This window comes from Homo sapiens, chromosome 3 (genome assembly GCF_000001405.40).
Source record: "Homo sapiens chromosome 3, GRCh38.p14 Primary Assembly".
In the NCBI taxonomy this organism is placed as follows: Eukaryota; Metazoa; Chordata; class Mammalia; order Primates; family Hominidae; genus Homo; species Homo sapiens.
In genome coordinates, this window is record NC_000003.12 from 29,840,970 (window position 1) to 29,867,886 (window position 26,917).

Below are 26,917 nucleotides of genomic sequence, written 5' to 3' on the forward strand. Positions count from 1 at the left end.
AACAATACAAACTCTTGTTTCCTAGCTCTTCAAAATACTAGGAAAGTATAAATTTATATGCTCTGCCAAGGTAAAAGTTAGACAGTGTCATGATATTGTTTTATGATTTTCCTCTTTACTAATGAGTTTGATCATTTTTCATTCATGTATTGTTCAATTATATCTCTTTCATCATTTACCTGTGGTTCCAGTTTTTTTATTATTTTTCTCTTGGGTTGTGTATTTTTATGTATTGACCTGTTGACACTCTGTATATTAACCAAATTAGCCCTCGATTTGTTGTGTGCCTCACAAATTTTTTTCTTAATCAGTACATTTAATATTTTCAGTAGACCATTCTCAATATAATGACTTGGAATGTTAGTAATGTACACATTTCATAGACTATGCCTCTTTTCTACGTTTTTTATTATTTCAGGAATAGTAAAATTAGAGGAATTGAATAAACAAAACTATTTTAAAACTTGTCAATTAAGTTTGTTCAGAATACGATTTGTTTCCCAGTATTAACTCTGGACATCCAGATATAGACAGGCTATAAGCTTCTGATTACATGACCAGTGTAGCTAGTTTAGATTCACCTTCACAGAGTATGTCTACCATGTACTGCACCTTATTTGATATAATTTAATAGCTCAATAGGTATTAGCTGAATGAATGAATAACAATAATTAGTAGTGACATTAATTAAACACTCCTTTTCTCCACCTCTGTTTACTGGAAATAATGCTTTTAGATATAGAGATCTTTTGAGACTATTCTGTGGTTTCAAAAAGCTCATCAGGAAATGATGTTTTCTATAATTGGAGTAATCTATCAAAATAGATGAATTCTAAAATTATAATAATTCCTGAAATTGTCCTGAGGCAAAATTTGTTCTACTTTCATAAGTGTTTCCATTTTCTTGTTAGGAAGAAGAGACACAATCTGAAAACCAAGTCTAATTTTCCCATAGGTGTAAAAGAGAAGACCTTAGTAATTACTTGTCTTTTTCATCCAGCCACTTAGTGTCTTTTCTTATTTTTGCTAATGACTGCAAAAAATGAAGATCTCCACAAGGAGAAAATGTTCTCCCCTTAGAATGGCTGTTCTTAGACTTGAGTTACACTTTTACCATCATCTAATTTTTGCAATATTTTACATCTTTGCCCAGTAAAATGAGGTTCCTAAGTTAAAAGATTTTTGAGCATATTATTTTGAAGTTGCTGTTTTCAGTGCACCATTCACATTATTGTCATTATTAATTGCATTCTGGGACCAAATCTATTTTGAAAAATGTTTTTCTTGCATCTTGGATAAACTGAATAAGCAAAGAAAGCTACTCCTGAAACTTGTCATTAAAGTTTTCTTTAGAATACAATTCATTCATCAGTACTAACTGTGAGCATCCAGATATAGACAGGACATAAACATTTGAATATGTGGCCATGTAACTAATTTGAGCTCACCTTTTTAGAGTGTTTCTACCGCACACAAGACCTTATATGAAACGATTTAATGGCTCAATAAACGTTTATTGAATGAATGAATAACAGTAATTACTATTATTATTATCTACAACAATACTTGCAAGTCTTCTGTCTTTTTGCCTTTTCTTTCATTTCTTTTTCCCCAGTGATAGGCTAGATAATTGCATCCCAGAGATGTCCATGTCGTAATCTCCAGAACGTGTGAATATCTTGCCTTACTTAGGAGGTGTGATTAAGTTAAGAATCTTTAGATGGGAAGATTACCCTGATTCTTTCAGATGAACCAAGTGTAATTGTTAGGATCGTTATAAGAGGGAAACAAGAAGATCAGAGTTAGCAGTAGATGTGATGATGAAAAGAGAGATTATAGTGATGTGAGGAAGGGGCTGCAAGCCAATGAATGTAACAGCTTCTAGAACCTGAAAAGGCAAGGAAGTATATGCTTGCCTAAAGCCTCCAGAAGGAACAGGGCCCTACTGATATTTTAATTTCAGAATTCTGACCTCCACAAAAGTAAGAGAATAGATTTGTATTGCTTTAAGCCACTGAGTTTGTAGAAATTTGTTACAACAGCCATAGGAAACTAATATACTTCTTTTACTCCAATTTCTTTCTGTATTCCATGCCATTAGATATTGCCTCCAGAATCAAGCATCTATGATAGTGCTTAGCACTTAAATTGGATGATACATTTAAGTTCAACCCTTGTGTCATAGTGGATTGGATTTTACTCTTTATAAAATGTATATTGTGAACTTCTATTAACTCAAGGTCTTTTCTGTTTTTGTCACGAGAACGTAAATACATTCAAATGAAAATATGCTGCATATTTTTAGAAGACAAATTTTCCTTGAACTTGATCCTTATAGAACTTAACTCTGTTTACTGGAAAGTAATATTAGAGTTTAAAATCTAGAGATAGCGGATCATATAGATAAGCAATGCAGGATTTCAGTGATTTCTATGGTCACCAGTACAGGTGTGATCTTAAAACATCGACACTATTGAACTGAATTCATAGGTATGTATTTAGCTTGCATTTGTTTATTCCAGTAGCCACTGAGGTGTATTTCTTTGTTTATAATCTATAATCAAAATCCTTTGCTATGACATACAAAAAATGTATCGAGCCACGGACGTTGACCAGGGTTTTCTTCCTTCATTAGTTGAAAATGAACTGTATCTGCTATTGTTTATCTGGGGAATAAAGAGCCAAATGTTAAAAGTTGCCTTCAGCTAGGAGCAGTGCCTCACACCTGTAATCCCAACACTTTGGGAGGCCAGGAGGGGTAGATAGCTTGAGCCCAGGGGACCAGCCTGGGCAACATAGCAAAACCCCATCTCTACTAAAAATACAAAAATTAGCCAGGCATTGTGATATGCATCTGTAGTACCAGCTACCCGGGAGGCTGAGGCACAAGAATCACTTGAACCGGGAAGCGGGCAGAGGTTGCAGTGAGCCGAGATTGCTCCACTGCACTCCAGCCTGGGAGACAGAATGAGACTCTTTCTCAAAGAAAAAAAAAAAAAGGTTGCTTTCAGTTAGTCTGTTCACAGTATAATTTTACATCTGGGGGATAAGAAAAACTGTTGACTGAAACATTTTCTACATTTTTTCTTTGGTTCATATTAAAATATGTAGTTTTACATTATTTGCTTTTGGTAGAAGTTCTGTCTCTATCAAGAAGAGTGGAAGAGTGCAAATAGATGTACAAATTCCTTGGTTATATAAATATTATTCTAATTGTAAAATAACTGAACATTTTTACTGAGGTGTGCTGAGAAAGCTCTTTGTTTTTTTGTTGTGTTTTGTTTTGTTTTGTTTTGTTTGTGCCTATAATCTGTTCCCATGGGGACCTGCACAATCCATGATTCTGATAAAATGAAGAGCAGTGGAGAGTTACAACTTATAAAGCAGTTATGACTAGGCTAGTCAATAAAGTCTCAAAATCAGCTATTAGAGTACGGTATTTAAGGTTTGTTAGAGAACACAGAGTATGGAAACATTGCCATTAACTAATGTGTAATTTGGTCACATTTCCTGATAAGATAATAAGACTTTTTGCTTTCCTCTAATCTAAACTTTCTCCAGGAAGTTATGCAACATAAAGCACTATGATTAATATTGCCACTGAATAATGTAAATGTATTTTCTCAAAAGAAATGAATCCCATTAATGGGACTGAACACAGTCTTCAGTGGAAGGTTCAGATTTTTGATTCAAACAATCCAGCATTTCCATCCATTTACTAATTATATGATTTGAGTAAGTTATTTCAAATCACTAAGACTTATTTATATAATCCATGAAATGCAAGTAATACTGTACCTTTACTGAAGAAGTTAAGGAATTAAATGAGGTATTGTATCTGCATTAGTCTAAATAAGATAGATCATATTGTGGTAATAAGTAATTCTTCAAATCTTAGTGGCTTAACACTTAAAAAGTGTCATTCTTTGTTCATATTAGAAAGTTAAGATGTTGTTGGCTCTGCTGCACAGTTATTCAGAATCTTGTGAAAAGGAGACCACACCATCTATAGAAATTGCAGCCTCTGAGGACATGATAGCAGGAGATCAGAGATGAAAGGAGAACACCAGCCTTCAAGGCTTAGCTCAGAAGTAACACTTGTCACATTTGGTAGTTTATAGGCCATGGAGGCTCATGTTTATAAGGAAAGACTGGGAACATGGATATTGGTAAGCACAGTCCTTCCTACAACATCTAAAATGCTTAGCAAGATGCCTGGCTCATAAAATACCTCAGTAAATGTTGTCTTTTTCACCATCGCTATTATTATTTTAGAGGGAGTGCAAGTTGGTAGTTAAGAGTCTGCCACTAACTCCATGACTTTAGGCAAACTTTTAAAACTTTCTGAATCTCCATTGTAAAAATAGGTCTCCCCTCATAAGACTGTTATAGTGACCAAATGAAATAAAGTGCTGCCATTTAGTAAGCCCTCTAAAAATATGGTAGTTTCATTGCTATCATGCATTTATATTCATTTTATCTATCAATTGGTTAAACCCAATTAAATGCCTACATATGTGTGTTTTTATTATAACAGTGTTGAGATTTCCTCATTTTTATTAATATGTATAAACTAATAAAACATTGATTTTCCTATTTGTGACAAATATATTACAATTATTAATCATTCATTTGATAGGTATTTATTAGGTGTCTACTGTTTTCTAGAGGTAACAGATAAACAATGGACAAAATACATGAGGTTTTGCTCTCATAATATTTGAATTCTGGAGCAGTGAAGAGTAAATGAGGCAAAAATCAACAACATAAAAATAAACTGTAATTTCAGGTTCGAATAATTCCTATGAATTTATTTTAAAAAGGAGGATTTGGTTAAGACTGACTGGTTAAGACTTACATTTTGATAGTCAGAAATGCCTTTTCTGAAGAAGCAGTGTTTCAGCTGAGATATGAATGATGTAAAGATATTTGAGAGGAAAGATTTCCTTTCTGGCAGAGGGAATTCCAAGTGCAAAGGTTCCAAAGCAAGAACACTGTAACTAGTTCAAATGTAATTAAAGCAAAAGTGAGCAACAGTCAAGAGTTGTTAGAAATGAGACTGTAAAGATAAGTAGTGACCTTTTTGTCTATGAAAAAAAGTTTGATTTTTTTTTTTCGATATTTGATGTGGAACTATTCAAGGTTTTCAAACAGGAAAGGGATGTGATCTGATTTTTGCTTTGAAAGATCATTCTGACTATGTATGGAAGAATGATCTTTATAAAGAATGGTTCCTTTATAAAAGGGACCATTGCAGAATTCCAAAAAGAGATGGTGGTAATTTTGAATGAATTATTTGGTGGGGGGATATGGATAGAAGTGGAAGATTTGGGATATATTTTGAAGGTAGAGTTAATATATTTTGAATAAGGTAGGTAAGAGTTTAGAGCTGAAAGAGGACTAGATTTAGGGCTTCAGCCACTGGGTGGATGGTACTGTGATGAAGGCTGGGGAAAGAATGGGCTCTTTATGGGATATCAAGAGACATACTTTGCATCTGTTATTTCCAGATACCTCTTAAACATTTAACTGACTGTCAGTCACATGCAAATCTTTTGGCCTTTCAAATAATACAATAATTTTAGTTTAGATTATGCCTATTTTTGAATGACTGCTTGTTATGAATGCTATTCAGCGATGTGATGACTCAATATATTTTCTTTTAGGTGCTCTGCTGCAAGAAAGTTTAAAGCATCTTAGTTTAGAAGCTCATAAATACTCTCTAAAAAAATGTGATAGAATTTACAAAGATAAGCTTATAAATCTAGGAAGATACATTTTACTTCAGAGTCAAAAACAAAACAAAAAAATTTCATTGACAATTCATCCAACGCCCAAATGAATTGATTAGCCAAGAACAAAGAGGAATTTTTACTAATAATAGGTTTGTATAGCTTCCTTGTTTTAAAAAGAACTATGTTGTGGGTTTTTTTCTTCCCCTAATGAAATAAAATATTAGAGTGAAATTTTTAATTAGTTAAGTAGTTTGTTGCATTCTACCACATCCATGACCATCTGATATAGTACCCAGGAAGAAGTCAAAGATGCAAGGCGCCATATCGCATGATACACGATAACAAGGTAATGAAGAGTAAATACATTTGTCATTTCAGGGAAGTTATTTACATGACACAGCCTTGGGAAAGCCTGCTTGGGAGACATAAATGAATGAAGCTTTTTAGATTGATGAATTAAGTGTGCCTTTTTTGTTTTCAATAATGTCCAATAAAATAGTTTATATTGAGCAAGAGGTCTTCTTTTCTGATCTAAGACATAATGTTGTACAAGAGGTACATTGTGTGGATACTTAATATGATGCACATTTGTTTACATATAACTTCTGCAAGGAGATATTAACTCCCAAGTTCTGGAATCTTTCTTTGTGCTTACTAGTTATGACTTTGTAACCCAGGGTCAGAGTTCCAATTTCAGCACACAAAGCCCTTGCCTTTGGCAGCTAAAGGCCTGTTATTATGGGCAAAGATTAAAATTACCCTAGGCCAAGATCTATAATTTTCTATATTAAGTCTTGAGTCAGTGCCACAATGCAAGTAAAGTGAAGTATCAATAACTCATTTAAAATTATTTTTCTCATGAAGCAGGCAGACTAGTCATTCTGTTAAATCCAGTAAAGGGCATAAGGGATAAATCTGGGCCACTCCAATTTTGTGTTTTATTTTTTTTTTTTTATTTTTTATTTTTTTGAGACGGAGTCTCCCTCTGTCGCCCAGGCTGGAGTGCAGTGGCGCGATCTCGGCTCACTGCAGGCTCCGCCTTCCGGGTTCACGCCATTCTCCTGCCTCAGCCTCCCAAGTAGCTGGGACTACAGGCGCTCGCCGTCACGCCCGGCTAATTTTCTTGTGTTTTTAGTAGAGACGGGGTGTCACCGTGTTAACCAGGATAGTCTCCATCTCCTGACCTCGTGATCCGCCCGCCTCGGCCTTCCAAAGTGCTGGGATTACAGGCGTCAATTTTGTGTTTTAAATGAAACACTGTGAACCTATACAAGGGGATGTGGTCTTTCCCCTTTGTATTTTGTGTAGGGCTGGAACACTCATTCTCAATACAAAATAGAGCCAACTCTTTGTTCACCTTTTTTCTAGGTATCCCCCTAAGTCTCTGAATGAAGGAATTGATTGTTGTATTGTTTCTCAGTTTCTGTTGGACATTTAAAGAGAGAGGGTAGCAGTGCTCACAGAAGTTCTTCCCTTCAAAGGCAGCCTATGTGAGGTTTCACACAGCAGTCAGCCAGCGCACCTGGACAGTCAGGCATAGATGCATTTACAGGATCTTTCTCCAATCTGCCATAAGTCATTTTTCTTCCTATGCCTGTGCTGTATGAACTATGCCATTTAGCGGCCACGTGCTCCCTTACTCCTTTATAATTCACATTTAGCGTCAATCCAGAGGTCTCTATTTTGTCTTTTCTTTCACTTGAAGCTTATGTATATAGTTATGATATGCTTTACATTTTGTCCAGGGATAACTATAGTTTCTAGGGCAACTATAAAACTTGGGGAATCCAACAAAAAAGTCCAGGGGGTTAAACAATAATCTAAGCCTTTTATTTGTAAATCTTTGCATATCTGTGAATTGCTTTAAAATGCTTCAGCCAAAAAGGGCAGGGATGCTGAATCAGACAATATGGACAAACCATGAATGCCTATGGAAACTACATGGTGAGAATATGGAGATTCATTATACTATTCCCTCTGCATCTGTGTGTTTGAAAATTTCCATATAGAGAAATTATTTTTAAAAAATAAATATGTGAAAGCAACCATCCAGGGATGATTGAGCAGGTTTTTTGTTTGTTTTTAAACAGACTTGTAAGAGGTTTTTTTTGTTGTTATTAATAAGTTAGGCTCAAAAACATATGGGGACAAACTAAAACCTACATAAAGAGAAAAAGAAAACAATGCTACCATTTTTGGACATTGCTCAATTTCACATTGTGAATGCTAGAATTTGCTCCTTGAAGTGCAATTGGAATCATTTTCTAGATCTTTTGTAAAATCACAAAGGATATTTTTGTGTTTATTAATATCTTTGCAGCCCCTTAGAGACCTTGACATTTTTTTCTTTAATACTACTAAAATAATATCAGATATACACTCAGGTCTATTCCATTTTTGAATATTGTCTTTCACACATACTTATGCACATACAAATACACCACTCCTCCCCCTCCACCAAAGGAATGTGTGTGTGTGTGTGTGTGTGTGTGTGTGTGTGTGTGTATTTCACATATAAAAGCAGGCCAATGTTGAGCGTAGTGGCTCCCACCTGTAATCCCAGGACTTTAGGAGGCCCAGGCGGGTGGATCATAAGGTCAGGAGTTCAAGACCAGCCTGGCCAAAATGGTGAAACCCCATCTCTACTAAAAATATAAAAATTAACCGGGCACAGTGGCAGGTGCCTTTAATCCCAGCTGCTTGAGAGGCTAAGGCAGGAGAATTGCTTGAACTTGGGAGGCGGAGGTTGCAGTGAGCCGAGATCACACCACTGCACTCCAGCCTGGGTGACAGAGTGAGACTCTGTCTCAACTTAAAAAAGAAAAAAAAAAAAAAAGCAGGCCAACTAAAGGTTTGTTTTTGTCAACTGTAGTATTTGGGTTAATCAGGTAATGCTGCACATTCTCTTTCAAATTTAGATTTTTATATGGTAACTTGTTTGATATAGTTATCAAACAAATGGGGAAGGTCCAATAATGTTAAAAGAACAAAATCAACAAACATCAGTGAAGAACTTGATTTGCAGAAATATTTTAACAGCAAGAAGCATTCTACAGTTCATTTCCATTTTGATGGCCATTTTAATAACAATGCTGAATGAGAATGCATCTCACCTATGTAACAGAAAATTTCCTTGATTCCATTTCATTTAAGGTTTTAGGAGTATCAGCTCAGACACTGGAGGAGTAATCAATAAACATGCCAATTATGTCAGAGAAAAATTATGAATGCCTGAATATTTGCAGCCTTATTTCTTTCTTTCTTTACAAAGAATATGCCTACCTGCCTTTTGCACTTCTGGTAAAGATACGAGGTAGGCAGACGTGAAGATTTGCAAAGAACTGGGACAGACTGGCAACCTTCCCTTTTGGAAGGCTTCTAGCAAGAGATTAGACTGGATCTTAGAGGACAAAGCATGGGGGTACAAAGACAAGTTTCTGTGGAGACTGAGAAGTAATCCTGGGGAGGAGGGGATACGCAGAAAAAGTGAAAAACACAGAGAGAAAAGAGCTTATTAATGGGAACTTCTTGCTGTTCTGTTAGTTTCTTTAAGCTCCTAGGGTAGACTGAATAACTTTTTAATGCTTCTTAATTGTTTCTCTTTATACTTGACTTCTTGATGAGACAGGACCATGAAGGAGGCCATCTTTATTGAGGTTACATAACCTTCAATATATTCAATCTACTTCATTAATATTCACTGAAGTTACAAGAAAGAATGCCCACAAAAGAATCTCTTTATTTTCCTACTGTCATCCCTTCTTCCACTGAGACTCTGATATTTTTTGAAATTACATGTTTTTTTAGTTTTTTGGGCTCCTTTGAGTATAATTGAAGGAAATTTCTATCCTGTTCTCCATTTTCGCTAGGAAATTGGGAGCTACATGTGTAAGGATAATGTTTATTGATTCTTAGAATGAAGGATCTTAGATTATCTCTCCTCCAACATCCTCTTTTAAATATGAAAACATGTAGGGATTTGCTATCTTTACAAACAAATAAAACCCAGATCTTTAGGTTTGGTAATGGAAGTACCTCTGTTTGATTAGGAACAGCTAGACCTTGAATTCTGATTCTCATCCCTTGAGTTGCACCTTTCTCCTCAGGCATCCTGCTAGCCTTTAGAGGTCGCTGTCACTCTAGCAGGAAAGGGATCGAGAAAGGATCCCTACTAGTTCACTGGTCTCCTCTCCCATCACCCTCCCCCTTTTTCATTCATTGCCATTTTTCCAAAGAGCTGAGTACACACTAACCTCAAGACATTTTGTACTTCTAACCTTTTGCCTACAACACTTTTCTTCCTCATATTTCCAAAGATTGCTCCCTCCTTTCTTTTAGAACTTCACTGAGATCTTTCCAGATTACTGCATCTATTACTTCCTCTTCTGTCAGTCTCTGCTCCTTACATTACCTTATCTTTTTTTAGCACTTCACAATTGAAGTTTTATTTATATGTTTACTTGTCTTTTGGCTGTCCCTTTTACTAAAGTATAATTTCCATGACAGCAACATTCCTTAGTCTAGTTATATGGGATTTAGAATAATGCCTGGAACATAGTAAGTGCTCAATAGTTGTGAATGAATGAATGTTCTTCTGTTACTGTTGAGCACAGGCTGCAATCACTGAAGATTCTGGTAAATAAGGAGGTGGGGATCGTTTGATCCAGGAAACAGTATGGAATGAACTATGGAATATCAAGACCCGGGATTATATACTGGTTCTGACACTTATTAGCTGGGTATACTTAATTTACTTAAACTCTCTCATCTTTAGGACTTTTTCCATCTCAAAAGGGGTTTCAACTCAAAAACAGGTAGTTTGGTGGAATAAAAGTGAACACATTAAAGCATCTACCACAATATCAAACATGAAGGAAGCTTCATTTAAAAATTGATAACTATGCAATTTGCCTTTTAAAAGTTAATCTGCTTCTTAGAATTTATAATTCATATCAGATCTTAAATTGCAATTTACTTTCTATTTTTATATATACCAAGCAGGGCCACATTCTGGTAAATCTGTTCTAATATTTTGAAAAAGGCAGGGGATTCTCCCTCCTGACCACATAAAGCCAGTTTCCTTAGAATTAAATTTTCCTGTGAGGAACAGAACTAGAAAAAACTATTTTAAGATGCATGTGTAACTAAAAAAGAACACGAATAGCCAAGACAATCCTAAGCAAAAAGAACAAAGTGGAGGAATCATACTACCTGACTTCAAACTATACTACATAGCTACAGTAACCAAAACAGCATGGTACTGGTACAAAAACAGACACATAGGCCAATGGGACAGAACAGAGTCCAGAAATAAGGCCACACACTTACAACTATCTAATCTTCAACAAAGCTGACAAAAACAAGCAATGGGAAAAGGACTCCCTATTCAATAAATGATGTTTTGATAACTAGCTTAGCCGTATGCAGAAAATTGAAACTGAACCCCTTCCTTACACCATATACAAAAATTAACTCCAGATGGATTAAAGACTTAAAGGTACAACCTCGAAGACAACCTAGGAAATGCCATTGTGGAAATAGGAATGGGCAAAGATTTCATGATGAAGATGCTAAAAGCAATTGCAACAAAAGCAAAAGTTGACAAATGGGATCTAATTTAAAATTAAGAGCTTCTGCCCAGCAAAAGAGACAATCAACAGAGTAAACAGACAACCTACAGAATAGGAGAAAATATTATAAACTGTGCATCTGACAAAGGTCTAATATTGAGCATCTTTAAGAAACTTAAACAAATTTACAAGACTAAAACAACCCCATTAACAAGTGGGCAAAGGACATGAATAGATCCTTTTCAAAAGAAGACATACATCTAGCCAATTCAAACATATGAAAAAAAGCTCATCATCACTGATCTTTAGAGAAATGCAAATTAAAACCACAATGAGATATTATCTCACACCAGTCAGAATGGCCATTACTAAAAAGTCAAAATACAGCAGATGCTGGCAAGGTGGCAGAGAAAAGGGAACACATAAACTGTTGGTAGGAGTGTAAGTTAGTTCAACTATTGTGGAAAACAGTGTGGCAATTCTTCAAAGACCTACGAATAGAAATACCATTCAACCCAGCAATCCCATTCCTAGGTATATACCCAAAGGAGTATAAATTGTTCTATTATAAAGAAGCATGAATTTGTATGTTCATTGCAGCACTATTCAAAATAGCAAAGTCATGGAATCAACCTAAATGCCCATCAATGACAGATTAGATAACAAAAATGTGGTACAGATACATCATGGAATACTATGCAGCCATAAACAAGAAAAGATCATGTCCTTTTCAGGAACATGGATGGAGCTGGAGGTTATTATCCTTAGAAAAGTAATGCAGGAACAGAAAATCAAATACCACATGTTCTCACTTATAAGTGGGGGCTAAATGATAAGAACACATGGACACATAGAGAGGAACAACACACTGTGGCCTCTCAGAGAGTGGAGGGTGGGAGGAGGGAGAGGATTAGGAAAAATAACTAATGGCTACTAGGCTTAATACCTGGATGATGAAATAATCTGCACAACCAACCCCCATGACACAAGTTTACCTATGTAACAAAGCTGCACATGTACCCCTGACCTTAAAATAAAAATTAAATTTAAAAAACTTAAAATTGGTAACTATGTAATTTTCCTTTAACAAGTTCATCTGCTTTTTAGAAATTAAAATTCATATTGTATCTTAAGCTACAATTTACTTTCTTTTTTTTTTTTTTTTTTTTTTGCAGTTGCAAGATTTAATAGAGTGAAAACAGAGCTCCCATACAAAGGGAGAGGACCCAAAGTGGGTAGCCGTTGCCAGCTGGAATGACTGGGTTTATATCCTGATCATTGTCCCTCCCCCTGTGCTCTCAGGCGACAGATGATTGGCTACTTCTTTACTTCCTGTTTTTCCCTAATTAGCATTTTAATGAGCTCTCTTTACTACCTGATTGGTCGGGTGTAAGCTAAGTTACAAGCCCCGTGTTTAGAGGTGGATGTGGTCACCTTCCCAGCCAGGCTTAGGGATTCTTAGTCAGCCTAGGAAATCCAGCTAGTCCTGTCTCTCATCACCTGGGAGCTTTGGCTCTTTGGGTGGTTCTAAACAGCATCAAGGTTGAGACCAAGGTTATCTTTGGGGTCTCCACCCCCTGAAACCTGCCCCTACTTGCTAGTTCCTGCCAGGGAGACCTGGGTGATCAGCTTCCCTCAAAGCCCAGGGCAGAAGCATTCTGGTAGCCCCAGGTGCCTAGAGACTGGCAGAAGGGAGACACTTATGAGTCACTCCTCCACTTCTTCCAGAGACCATACTGTTTTGTTTGTTTGTTTGTTTTTTGAAAGTGTCAAAAAGTCGTGAGAACAAAGCATCCCCTCTGTGCTGTGAGTCTGGGAATCTGGAATAGAAACAGAAGTTCTCATCCCCAGGGACACCTTTCCTGGCACTGCTCCCCAGCCTCCTCCCAGCTCCAGGCTGAGAAGGGCGTCCCTCCCCGCGTCCCTGCAGCAGCCAGCACTGAGGTCGGCCTCCACCCCAGCCACAGTGTGCTGCCATGTTGTGTTTCCGGGCCTGTCCCCGATGTCAAATCCTAGAGGCTAGGCCTCTTACAATTTACTTTCTAACTATTTGTATATATAACAAGCAGGGGCAAATCTGGCACATCTGTTCTCAAATTTTGAAAAAGGAAAGGGGTTCTTCCTCCTGTCCACATAAAGCCAGTTTCTTCAGAATCAAATTCTCATGTGAGGAACCAGGTAATTAATTCTAGATTTGAGACACCTTCAGGAGACCTTCTCTCTACTCCGCTAAAGGTCTCAGGATATGTCCGTTACTAAATTAGGAACAGTTCACCAACTCTGGTTGGAGAATTGTTTCATTTCATGGTCGTAGAGAAAGGAAGGTTGACTTGATTGTTAGCTAACTTTCTTCGAGATAATCCAAAATGGAAAAAGTAAAGAATGGTTTTACTTTGCCCTTTGTATTACCTGGCAAATTTGACAGGGTCTCTCATGGGCATTGTCTACAAGAGTGAAACAAATGAGAGAGCTTTATAGTAATGTAGCATATTTAGGTCCTTTCACAAAGTCAACCCTTGTTAAACAGATCATAATTCATATAAAAAGAAAGCTCTCCTTCTTACCAGTTTAAGTTTTATAGTCCAAAATAGAGCCTTTGAACTCTCTTCAATTCTAAAATGCATCACTGTGATGCCTGCAATTGACTGTACTATTTCTATGCTGGAAATAAAATGAGAGGCATAGCTCCAGGAAAATGGCCCTAAAAATAATAATTTTTGCATGTGCCTCAATAATGTTAATAATATCTAACATTTGTTTTGTGTCTTTCCATGGTTCATAAAAGTTATTCCCCTGTTTACCTTACATAATGCTGCAAGTTACTCCCAATCTTTTATTCATTCAACAGATATTTACTACATGCTACTCTATGCCAGATTTGGGATTGAGTGTTCAGTGTAAGGTCATATAATTCTGTTAGTTAGGGAAATTTTACATTGCTGGTCCGCTTTTACAATGAGTAAGTGGTGAAACTGAGTTGTGAAAATTAAGTCTATTATCAGTAAAAAGATCATATATATCAAATCCTTGACTATCCTTAATTTGTGAAAACTACATCAAATATGACTTTTTCCTATAAGGAAAGCTTTTACAGATTCCTAGATGGTTAAATTTAATTGCTTCTACATGTTTTATATCTAATCATTATATGCCAAAAATACACATTATGTTCAATACAAAATATTTACTTCTTTGATTATGATTATTTTTAGGTAAAAAAATGAATATGCTGCCAAGCTGCAATTACTATATTTAGAATATGTACAACTTGTGACTAGCCAAATTTGCAATGATCTTTTAGAAAATAGGGGAAAGATTTCCAGTGCCTATTTTAGGTAAGAAAGCCTTCCTGAGAGACTTATTAAATATTAAATGCTTTATTAAGAAATTTAGAGACTCTTTATGCAGATATTTTAAAAGCCTGACAGATATATCCAATGTCGGACTGAATTAAGTTCAATCTTGGCTTATTCAGCTGAGAGGGTGCTTTGCTGTTGTGGAGCCATAGGACAGTTGTCAGGGTGCCTTCCACGCTGGAAAATACATAAGCTTGCTAAAATTGTGCAGGTGCATGCATGTGTGCATGTATGTGTATAATCTACTGCATTCTAGGAACTACATTATACTTGGGGGATACAAAGATAAATAATGCAGAGACCCTATACTCGAGAGACATTTAAATTGTTAAAAAAAGGCATATAAATAAATGAGTGAGCTGAGGTGTTCCACAGATACCAAATTAGAAGTGTATATAATAGACTCACACAAGAATAAATGAAATTGATTTATAATTTAAAAAATATTTAATGTCTGCTTTGCTATCAGAAAGAATATTCTTTAAGAACTAGGACTTTTTCTATTTTATTCATTACTTAGTCTTTCATGAATAGCACAACACCTGATATATAGCCCCATGTTCCCAATGAATTTTGAATGAATTTCAGGCAAGGGTGAATAAATAAGTTGAATGAATGTATTAAAAATTAATTAATAATAAGTTATTTTATGGGAATTTGGTGGGGTGGGAAAAGCGGTCAGGAAATATTTTATGAAAGTGATTAAGCAGGAAAAGAGAGAAGCCAGTTCAGAAAGAAGGAGCAGCGTAAGCAGATCTGGGAGATTGTGAAAGGTCTCAGCCCTTTTTGAGAAGTACTGTATGTGGAAAGTGAGATGCACACATTTAGATCATGACATTGGATGGCCTTTTGTGTTAAGGAGTTTGGACGTTATCCGATAGGTGGGCATGTGGGTGATTAAAGTAAAATTTACACTTTAGAAAGGTCTATTGACAATTTGAATCCATATAAGATACCTTTAGTGCTCACTCCCAGTGGAAAAATTGGTACCTATCTAAGAAAAATATGAATTTCTGGACAGCTATTCAACCTTCTCCTGGGGTAGTCTAGCACTAAACTAGTTTATCACTTTGTTTCTATAGCACAGAAGGGTGGGTATTGTATTTTATAGTCATTTCTATGCATTGTTTTTACACTAAACATCTTCATAGGCGACGTCGTTGCCAAGTTATTTATTTATTTTTATGATTGCTTAGATTGATTTATCCATAGATGTTTACAGCACAAATGGTCTTTAACATCTCCTTGAAAAACTCAGTTTCTAGGACCTGGATTAAATTTATATTGTATTGATTAGTATGTGATTCAACTTACATGACAGCACTCTTCAAATTGTCACAATTTCAGTACCTTGACTCTTGAATTAGAAAAAATACCATCTCAGGTCATTACACCTGTAAATCTTTTACCTACTGAAAGCAAGGTTTTCATTCTAGCTGATGCCTCCAGCCTTGTTAACTCATACCTGCATTGTAACATAGAGCTTTCACTTTGAAACCAGAATTGTATTTATTTCTACTAACTGAGTTCACTGCATCCTGGGAATTCTTTCAGCCTCTAGCACAGGAAATATATGCTTAGGAACAGCATGAAGGAAATTGAGATGTGTTTTCTTGACCTGAGTTGGAGTTCAGTCTAAGGGTGCGTATGTATTTGCTTCCTTGTTGGAGAATCCTAAGTGAATGCTCTACTAGAAAGGATCCTGATGTTTTACATTAAAAGATTCCTCCCTATCTACCCCCACCCCCACCCCCACGGGGCCCCGATTTGTTTTTTCCTAGGGTGGTTAACATGAGTTTCACTTGAAATCAGAGTTACACCTGGGATTATGACTTGGAATTCTTTCTTGTTATTACTTTTTTTTCTTTTTCAAGTAGGTTGGCTAATTATATTTACTTGTGGAAATGTGGGGACTCTATGCTTTTTTTGTTAAAAAAAAAAAAAAAAAGGTTGTGCCCCTGCTCTCCAACTACATTTCATTATAGAAGTAATATTAAGAAGTTATTTTGTCTGTCTACATTTATTTAATAATTTGATCACAGGATATTGACATGTGTATTACCCTCAGCCACTCTGCAGGACCAGTGAGGTAGACACTAGGCAATGGTGAATAGGGCCCAGCTCCTGACCTCAATCAGACGAGATCGGGCGCGTTCAGGGTGGTATGGCTGTAGACATCCTGACCTCAATCAAATCAAATTCTCATAGTAGTGGAGAGGAACATGGGAATGCATTATGGAAAGTTAATGACATTTAGCTCATCCCCTATTGATGAACATCTATAAATTATGATACATCATAATTATGCCACAATACTAAGCAGCATTTCATTTATGTGTGCTAATATGGAAAATTCTTCATATATAATTAAGGTAAACAAACAAAACCAACATACTAAGCAAAACTACCATCTTTGAAATTAAGAAAAAGAACTAAATAAACAAATTGGTAGATGTATATAGTTATGCATTTTTGAAAGAAATCATAAAAAGTGGTGGATTTAAAAGAGGTATTTTTATTTTTAACCTTTCTATAGTTTGAATTTACTAATTTTTTACATGTCCTTTTTCCATTTTTTAATTCATTTTTAATATCAAAGGGGTATCTGCACTGTAAGATTATAGTGATATTTTTCTTCCTTGTACCTCTTTCTAATAAAAAATTTCATCTTATATGTAGTACATAGTAATCTATAAATATAAAATACAGTATGCAAAGAGCTGTCTCAGAGGAAAGTGCAATACTCTGGAGCCAAGGAGGAGGGAGGAATGAGGCAGGATCAGAAACAGTTCATCCTGGTCAATAAATAAGATTCTTCTAATTTCAAAGGTGCTTCATCTTAGTAACTTTTTCCTTGGTGCTTTGCCTTTTAGCCACACAAGTTTCGCTAGTCTGTTGCTACATCAACCAACTGATATTTCTTGGAAGTGCTGGTACTTTCCAATTTCTTGGTGTCAAAACATTGCCTTCATTCAGCACCAATAATGTTCCAGCCTTTTCCCCAAAAAGTGAACTAAATTTAACTGTCAGTGAAAACTTTATGTCCCGTCTACTTGAAACATTAACTTTTTCCACTTGAAACAATAGCGTTACATTATTCCCCTTATGGGGCATGGTTGTTCCTTTTAGAACCATCTTTTTATATAGGGAAGGAATTATCAGAGAATTGTTACAATTTTTTTAAATGATGGTGTTTTAATCTTTAAAACAGAGAGGAGATCTTGAGATCACTATTTAGGCCGTAATACAATTTGTCAAAAGGTGATTTCCTCTATGTTGTTTCTAGTCAAATAGCTGTTCTCTGCTTTTATCGTCACTGTGGGGCATTTTCTTTCTTGTAAGGCTATTTCACATAGCACAGAATTATATATAAAACCAAATATAAGCAGTAATCCATTACTGAGGGATAAAATTAGGCATGTGCATGAAAATTACATTTTTTCAACGTATGCTATTTTTTATTTATTTCCTCTTTTTAGTGTATATTCCCTCACCAGTTTTTGGCCTAAAGGATAGGCGTAAACATGAGCCTGACACTTATAAATATAATCCAGGTGATTTGTTTATTATTTTAAAACAAGCCATTATTAGAGGGGCAGCATACATTCTTTTAGGAGAACTAACTGGTTTCCTAGCTTTCGGTTTTAATTCTAACCTGGCCCAGAGAACCACTGTAATTATATTTTTGTGAGTACTCAATCTTTTTGCCCCATTCCAAAATGATAAAGTCAGTCATAAGAACTGCTCAAACTTCATTCCCTATTCCTGCTGATGGTAAAGAGGGTAGAAAGTAAGCAGTTGGAGAAAGCGTTCACTTAGATATCAAAAGAACTGATTGTAACTTTGCCACCAACTACCACAAATTAGCAAGCAATTCGTTAAACTTTTATTTTTATTTTCCTTACTGACAAAATCAAGAGTTTGAATTAAGAAAATTGTATAGTTATATGGCAGACAGGATCTATACGCCATTCAGCATGGGATTTTATTACAACTAAGAATTACATACCTAGCTACGCCTTGCTTGTTATTGTACACAAAACATAATTAAATACTAAACAGGATGCTAAGAGTCAAAAGAAAATGTAACCAAATAGCTTCCTTTGCCATATGCAGGTTTTCTAACTCCAAAATATAATAATTCTGTGTTGTAACCTTCAAGTAATTTTTGCCATGTAAATTGTGGTTGAAATTGAAAGCTTGCCAGCTCTATATCTAGAAATACATACATACATACACACATATGCATGGGGGCACACACACACACACATACACACATACACACTCTGGTAGGCATCAGAAGTCTATCATGCATAGGGCACATGTGGAAAAGAAAGTGGACGTTTCCTAACAAAACCTTTTGCAAACATTTCAGAGGACTTATTCTGCAAGACCTTCCTGGATATGACAAACAAAATAGTGTTTTGGGATAAGTGAAAATGATTAAAGGCATGGGTTCCAGCATACAGTTAGCTTCAGACACTTATTTCTAGCATTTTTCCATAAATATTTTTTGTTCCAAATCAGTATAAACTACTTCTGTCTGCATTTGGAAGGACTGTGGAGTGTTGGAGCAAGTACAAAAGCAGTTCTAAGTTTTTGTTGCAAGGCTACCAGTTCTCAACATCAGGTCTAGATGGCCCCAGACGTTCTTAAAGCATTTTGACTAAATCTTAGCATTGCATCCACTTTCCTAATTTATATTTTCATTTAACAAACATTTGATTAAAACTTGTTTTTATCCAGAGTAAGTGACCGTTGACTTGTTTTCCATGTGCTAGTTCATAATTTGGCAGTTGGCATGGGGTGGGAGGTGGGGCATATATGCAAACCATTGTTTTAAAACTCTGTGGAATTGGATGTGATTTCTAAGCTAAAGGACATTCTATGACTGTAGTGCTGGAGGTTGACATCCATTCCATGCTCTACGAATGCCTATCTATGTCTCTATTATAGCAGCCATTGTAATCTTGAGTTTTCCTTTTACTTGGCTTTCTCCCCTTCTAGACTGTGACCACTTTGCCAGGAGCAAAGTTTAGAGTAGTGCCAGTATTAGTTGGTATTGAATACATGTGGGTCAAAAAATAAATAAAAGATGGACTGTGTTAAAATGCTCCTGAGTTTCATTATCATCCTTCTATTAGTATCATGTTTTCATCCATTAGTATGAACAGCTTTTTAATGTACAAGTCACCCAGAATATCACACGAATAGTTTAGGAAGGAGGTTTCATTTGTTTCTTTTCTTTTCTTTTTTTGAGGCAGAGCCTCGCTCTGTTGCCCAGGCTGGAATGCAGTGAGCTCTCTTGCAGTGAGCTCCGCCTCCCCGGTTCACGCCATTCTCCTGCCTCAGCCTCCCGAGTAGCTGCAACTACAGGCGCCCGCCACCACGCCCGGCTAATTTTTTGTATTTTTAGTAGAGACGGGGTTTCACCGTGTTAGCCAGGATGTTCTCGATCTTCTGACCTCGTGATCATTTGTTTCATTTTTTCAATTGAGAAATAATTTACAACCTCAAAATTTTTCTTTAAAGGTAGCTCCTGGATCAAAAATTTATAACATTTTAACTTTTAGTTTTTGAGATTCTTTTTTAAAGTCCTTTATTTTGTCTACTCTTATACTAAGATTTTATAAACTCACCTTGAATAAACTGCTTCTGTTGTCGTTAGCTTTTCTTCTCCATCCAGCTCCTCCCACTCTTATTTTTTCCTGAAGATTTGGAACCTATCTGAAATGAGGAATTTTTAAATTTAAGAGTTAAAGTACCAGACCAGTAATGTTATAGCAATAAAGAAATATTTAAAACCATCACCACAGTCCAATACAAACACTAGAATAACTTAAATAAATTGAATGTTAAAATTAAAAGTGGTCAGCTTCTGTAAGGAAAGCAGGAATTCTGCTGTCGATATCTTAGATGTCAATATCTTCTCATCAATAGCATATTAAAGAACATTTTAGTGACTTATCAAACTGCACGTATTTTAAATTGTAAACAGAAAATCAAAATACATTCTCATACCTTAATTTTGATAAGCAAAATCTTTGTCATTGTTTTGTTTGCTTGCTTAAAACACCAAATCCTATAAGCCATCTGATCATTATATCAGTTTATGCATTGTATGTTGCATGTTTAATACAAAGTTTGGAAGACTAGAAATACTCCACTAAGCAAGCAAACAGTAATTACTCCTTTATAATTACTGTGCAACTTTATTGCCATGTGTTGTTATAATTATATTTTAAATACTCCCCATTTGCATCATAGACCATAATGTCTTCTAGCACATTAAAGTCTGTGGCTTATAATGGCATCCCACTTCCACAAAGACCTCTTCTTCATTTAGTCTCTATTTTAACTACTGTTAAAAGAGACTACATGAAAGTAATTGGCACCATAATCCTACAGTAAGGAAATTGTAAGCAATATACTATTTCTGTGCTACTGAAGTCTCTAATTATTCAGAGTATTTCATGTTTAACATTTAATATGCATTCCTCTTTCAGTTATGGAGCCAGTCATAACCAAAACAGTTCTTCTCAAATCTTAACATACACAGAAATCACCTGGGGATCTGGTTAAAATATAGATTTTGATATAGTTGGTCTGGAAACGGGCCCAAGAGTCTACATTTCTAACAAGCTCCCAGGTGATGAGTCCAGTGCTGCTGGGTTCATTGACCTTACTGTGAGTAACATCACTTTCATGTATTATCTATAACTAAGTGCAAAATGCTGTTAAGTGTGCACACACACATACACATTGCACACATACATACACACGGCAAACTTCACTCCAACCTCTCCTATGATCAGTTTCTACCCTCAGACCTAGAAATAAATTAATCCTGTCAAAGGATTTATTTAACACAAAGAGAAACAGCATTCAACCTGTGAAAGCTGGCCAAATACACACTAGATAATATCACTCTGAGCTGGGAGTCAAAGAGGGCTTCCTTGTCATTTGCCAGATGGAGGGGTGTGTGTGTGCATGTGTGGTGGGGGCAGTTCGGAAAAGAAATTCCAGGCAGGGAGGAACTGCCCTTAGAAGTGACGAGAGTGAAATTAGCTAAGTGTGGCGGCGTGTGCCTATAGTCCCAGATACTCAGGAGGATGAGGCAGGAGAATCACTTGAACCCAGGAGGCGCAGGCTGAAGTGAGCTGAGATCCAAGATCAAGCCACTGCACTCCAGCCTGGGAGACAGAGCAAGTCTCTGTCTCAAAAAAGAAAAAAGAAAAAAAAAAAAAAGGAAGTGACAGAGTGTAAACTATTCAGGGATGGAAGGATACTAATAAAGATATGATGAAGGGGAAAAATTCTTATTTTCTAATCAAAGAATTTGGATTTTATCTTAAAGGTATTTAGGAATTACCTAAGAACAAGACGATTATGTGAATTTTAGTTCACCTATTCTACTAATGTTTTCTCTGCCACTCTCAATGAAATATTTCTCTTTAGGAAATTAATCTGAATTTGACTCCTGAAATTTAAGGATAATATGGAAATATATTCATTGTTTTTGAAATAGCACATTTGAAAATGTACTTGGACACAGGAAGGGGAACATCAAACACCGGAGCCTGTTGTGGGGTGGGGGGAGAGGGGGAGGGATAGCATTAGGAGATACACCTAATGTAAATGACGAGTTAATGGGTGCAGCACACCAACATGGCACATGTATACATATGTATACATATGTAACAAACCTGCACATTGTGCACATGTACCCTAGAACTTAAAGTATAATAATAAAAAGAAAATGTATTTCTGGAATTTTTTTAAATGTATCTAGTAAAACATTGTGGCTGTATCTGTCTTCCATTATAATCATCTTAAAATTAACAGTATATAATCATCTTAAAATTAATAGAATCAGATGTTTTAACTTAGCAATGTCAGTAAATATAAATAGGTCATTATCAATATTCATAGCCTAACTGCTTATACAGATCCCCCAAATATCAGGGTGGCTAAATTTTTAGACCTTTAAAAAAATTGTAAAATTTATGAAGACAGTGCACAAAGAGATCTTAGTTGAAAGCTAAGAAAATCTCACCCTATGACTTTTAAATTTTCTCTTAGTGTTAAAAACAACTATTTGAAAGTTCTCTTTACAATAAGGGAAAATGTTAAGGTAGGCTTAAAATCCAGAATCTCATACTCTTTATATATTTGATCCTTGGCAATCTAGAACATTGTTATTTGGTAATATTTGTTTAAGGGATACCTCTGCTAAATGTTTTTATGCCAGTCGGTAGAAGAAATATTAGTGTAAATAACTCATTTAGAGAATTTTATTTTATTTATTTAATACAAATGTTTAAATAAGGGAATTGGGAAAGACCTGCCTTTTTGGAATGTAATTATAGATACGTAATTGTTTTAGGGAGAGGTAACAAAAGGTAGAGATGGTCTCTTTTAATGAGGAAAGATTTTCTGGAACTTAGCTTTAGCAACAGTAATTATTTAACATTTTAATATGGGATCTGGAAAAGGGAAACCCCAGTGAAATCTATTACTATGTAGATGGCTCAATAGTTTTTCTAGTAGTAAAATACAACCCTGATGGATTTAAACTGCCAGCAGAACTTTTGCAATTGAGTGGCAAGGTAATAGTAATAGTACTAATGATCAGAAACAACAGCAAAGGAACAGAGAGCATTCATCATAGGCAATTGGAGGTTAACGCAGATAATAATAACATAACATGCATCATACCTAGGAGATAATGAAAGCCAAATTCTGGCAATGACTCAGGAAAGGGACCTAGTGCTGTAGTGGCCAGATGACCCAATGACAAGCTATAGCAAACAAGAACCATTTTAGAAACACAGATCTTTTCCATCAACACATCTTTTTGTTGTTGTTGTTGTTGAAGATAGTTGCAAGTTCTGTATGTTGACGAAGCCTCTATGGAGTTAAAATGGAACAGAACTGATGAAAATAAAGCTTAAACGTTCCAAACTCTCTGACACTGACACATGACCGGGTTTCACAGTTGGGAACTGGGAAGTGGCTGACAGAGATTCTAATCAGTAATAATCTTTGCAGCAAACAGATTCAGTATTTATTTAGATATAATACATTCTTTAAAAAAAACTTTCACAATAGCTCTATGAAGTATTTAACATTATTTCCCCATTTTATACATAAGAAAAATGAGTCACAGAAATGTAAAAGAAAGGAAGGAAGGAAGGGAAGGGAAGGGAAGGGAAGGGAAAGGGAAGGGGAAGGGGAAGAGAAGGAGGGAGGGAGGAAGGAGGGAAGGAAGGAGGAAGAGAGAGAGAGGAAGGAAGGAAGAGAGAGAGAGGAAGGAGGGAAGGAAGGAAGAAAGGAAGGAAGGGAGGGAGGGAGGAAGGAAGGAAGGGAAGGGAAAGGAAGGGGAAGGGGAAGGAGAAGGAGGGAGGGAGGAAGGAGGGAAGGAAGGAAGGAAGAGAGAGACGAAGGAAGGAAGAAAGGAAGGGAGGGAGGGAGGGAGGAAGGAAGGAAGGAAGGAAGGAAGGAAATTTGCCTAGTATTTTGTAGCTAGCAAGTAAGGGAGCCAGACTTCAAACCCAGGAAGCTGGCACCCTTAACAATTAAGTGCCCCCAAAGTATGTGTTAAAGCCTATGGAAATATGAGCCTATAGAAACTACCTAAAGAGAAGTCATACTCTAGACTATTAGAACCAGGGACTATCCTATAAACCTTATAAGAACCATTGTTAGGGGACCATAAACAACCCTGCTTCAAAGAGTAGAAATATGTTTCATAAAAGCCATTACCCAAAGACGTATAAAAGGTAAAACTTAAATAAAAATAGATTACCATTTACAACTTGGAAAAGAAACCCAGAATTTTCTGTAGCCACTGGTCAATGTGTTCTTACAGCCGTAAGGCAGAATAAAAATCTGGAAATTATCAGAGAAGGTTTTAAGAACAAAATAAGCAAGTTGGTCTCTTTTTAAATATAAATCTGACATTAACAGAAGCCTTATGATATTAAGGGAAAACTGGTATGGGAACTAAGGAAGGGAGTGAAAACATGCTCCTCACCTATGAATTAGACATCCAAGAGGACAATCAAGTTCGATCTCATGCCATATTGGGTCACTGATGGCCCATCATGCATGGACTGTAGGACTCACAAATAAATCTGGACACAAAAGTTCTTATGTATGGGCCAATTCTGCTTATATGGACACAGTGCAAACAGGTACGACAAGATATTTTCTTCCTCAAGGATGATACCTAGCAGATAAAGACTGATTTCTAATTCAGTATTGTTACAACTGCAGGTGTGTGACCCGTAGCGAGCCACTAAACCATTCTGAATCTCACTTCCTTCACTGGTAAAATAGGGAAAAATATTAGTTGCCTCATAGAGTTGTAGTAAAGATTAAATGAATGATCTATGTAAAATGGAAGTGCTTGATAAACTTTAGTCTATTATTAACACCAAATACTAAAAAAAAAAAAAAAAAAAAAATTCCTCTTCTTGGATAACATTCCTTGGTTAAAAAAAGACTATATTTGAGTAGAAAGAAGCTTCTGACTGTTAAGGGTGATGGATATGTTCATTATCTTGACAATGGTGATGGTCACATAGGCATATGCATATATCAACACTGACAAATTGTATATTGGGAATATGTACAGTTTATTTTATGTCAGTTGACTCAATAAAGCTGTTAAAAACAAACAACAAAAACTTACCTGTGGGTGTAATGTGTGTGTCTGTGAATGTAGTTGCTAGGAAAATTTCTTACCTAACAGAGGCACACAAAGCTGCCATCCCTCCTCACAAGAAATTGGAACCAGTTTCTTTACAGCAAGAAATGTAAGGTGCTTCTAGATTTACCTTTTGTGAGAAATTTGTACCACTGACAGTGATGAACTCATATGTCAGCATGACCATCCCATTTTAATACCTGTATGTACCTGAATCTTTAAAATGGCAAGAGAGAAAATATAGAGCAGGATGAGTTTACATGTGATATAAATACATAGTTTTGGAATCTCACAGGAAATTATGTTACTCAGAGAATATTGGGATGCAATGATTGCATTTAGCATTTAGGTTTTTCATCTGGAATCAGAATTTACAGTACTTATAACATAAAGAATTAGGAATCAGAATTTACAGTACTTCTAACATAAAGGCAGTGACTATCTACAGATATTCCATGATGCAGTCTCTCTTGTGTGATTTTCCTGGCTTCACCCAAGTCACTGAAGTCAGAGGCTCATCAGAGCAGTCAGTGTGAAAAACCACTTGTGTTCAGTGAGGCAATGATATTTATTGAATGCTCTCTCTATACAGAACTGTGTGCTCTGTATAGGGCAGAAATGACATTTTGTTTCTTATTTCTCTTGGTCAATGGTGACCCCTGTCTCTTTGAGTCATTCCCTCCAGTACTGATAAACAGAGTTGCTGCTAATAGTGAGCTAAAAGGATTTGACAAAATATGACTCCCCCTTAGAGCCAAATGATTTTCAAATATTTATTTTTAGGTACCTGTTTGATTGTACTCTTTTTCCACTGTTGATTTTGGAAACAATTTTGAAATTCTCATTAATTCCTTAAAAATGTTTAACTTTACCCAGATAAGTAAATGCAAGGAATCTAGCTGGGGTGGGAATGGGGGAGAATGGGTGTTGGGGAAGTTGTCAGTTATCTATTAAGACAATAATGCCACATATCAATTGTAACATCTTAGTGGCATGAAACAATAAAGATTTCTTTAGCTTACACATTGGTGTGGTGGGCTCAGTTTATATCACCTAGGCTTATATATTTTTTTCTGTTGTGAACTGCAAGTTAACTCTGTACCACTACCGATCTTGGATGTGCGGGTTCACATGTCTGGGTGGTGGCTGGCATTGGATGATCTAGTATGGCCTTGGCTGGAATGTTAGCATGTTAAGGATGACGTACCTTTATTCGCATCTCATCCTCCAGCAGGCTAACCTGGGCATGTTCACATATCCATGCAGAGGAGCAAAAGAAGCAACTCTCAATACTTAAACCCATTTCAAGCTCCTGGTCATGTCTCATTTGCTAACATCCCATTGGCCAAAGCAATCACATGGGGTCAGACCTAGAGTCAGAATGAGAGGGCTCCACAATATTATATAGCAAGAGGCAAGGACACAGGAATTGGTCAAGAATTAGGGCCTTTAGTATCATTAATCTTTAGTAAAACATACTTTTCCTAATGAGTAACAGTTGTGCAGGGTGGTCATTTTGGTTTTCAGACTGTAAACTGACAAATT

General features: G+C 36.1%; 1 protein-coding gene across 15 annotated transcripts in view; it reads left to right on the plus strand.

Moving 5' to 3' along the window:
- Positions 1-26,917, plus strand: part of RBMS3 (RNA binding motif single stranded interacting protein 3) — a 729,325-nt gene that overhangs the window by 559,899 nt on the left and 142,509 nt on the right. The gene's annotated exons all lie outside the window — the stretch shown is intronic.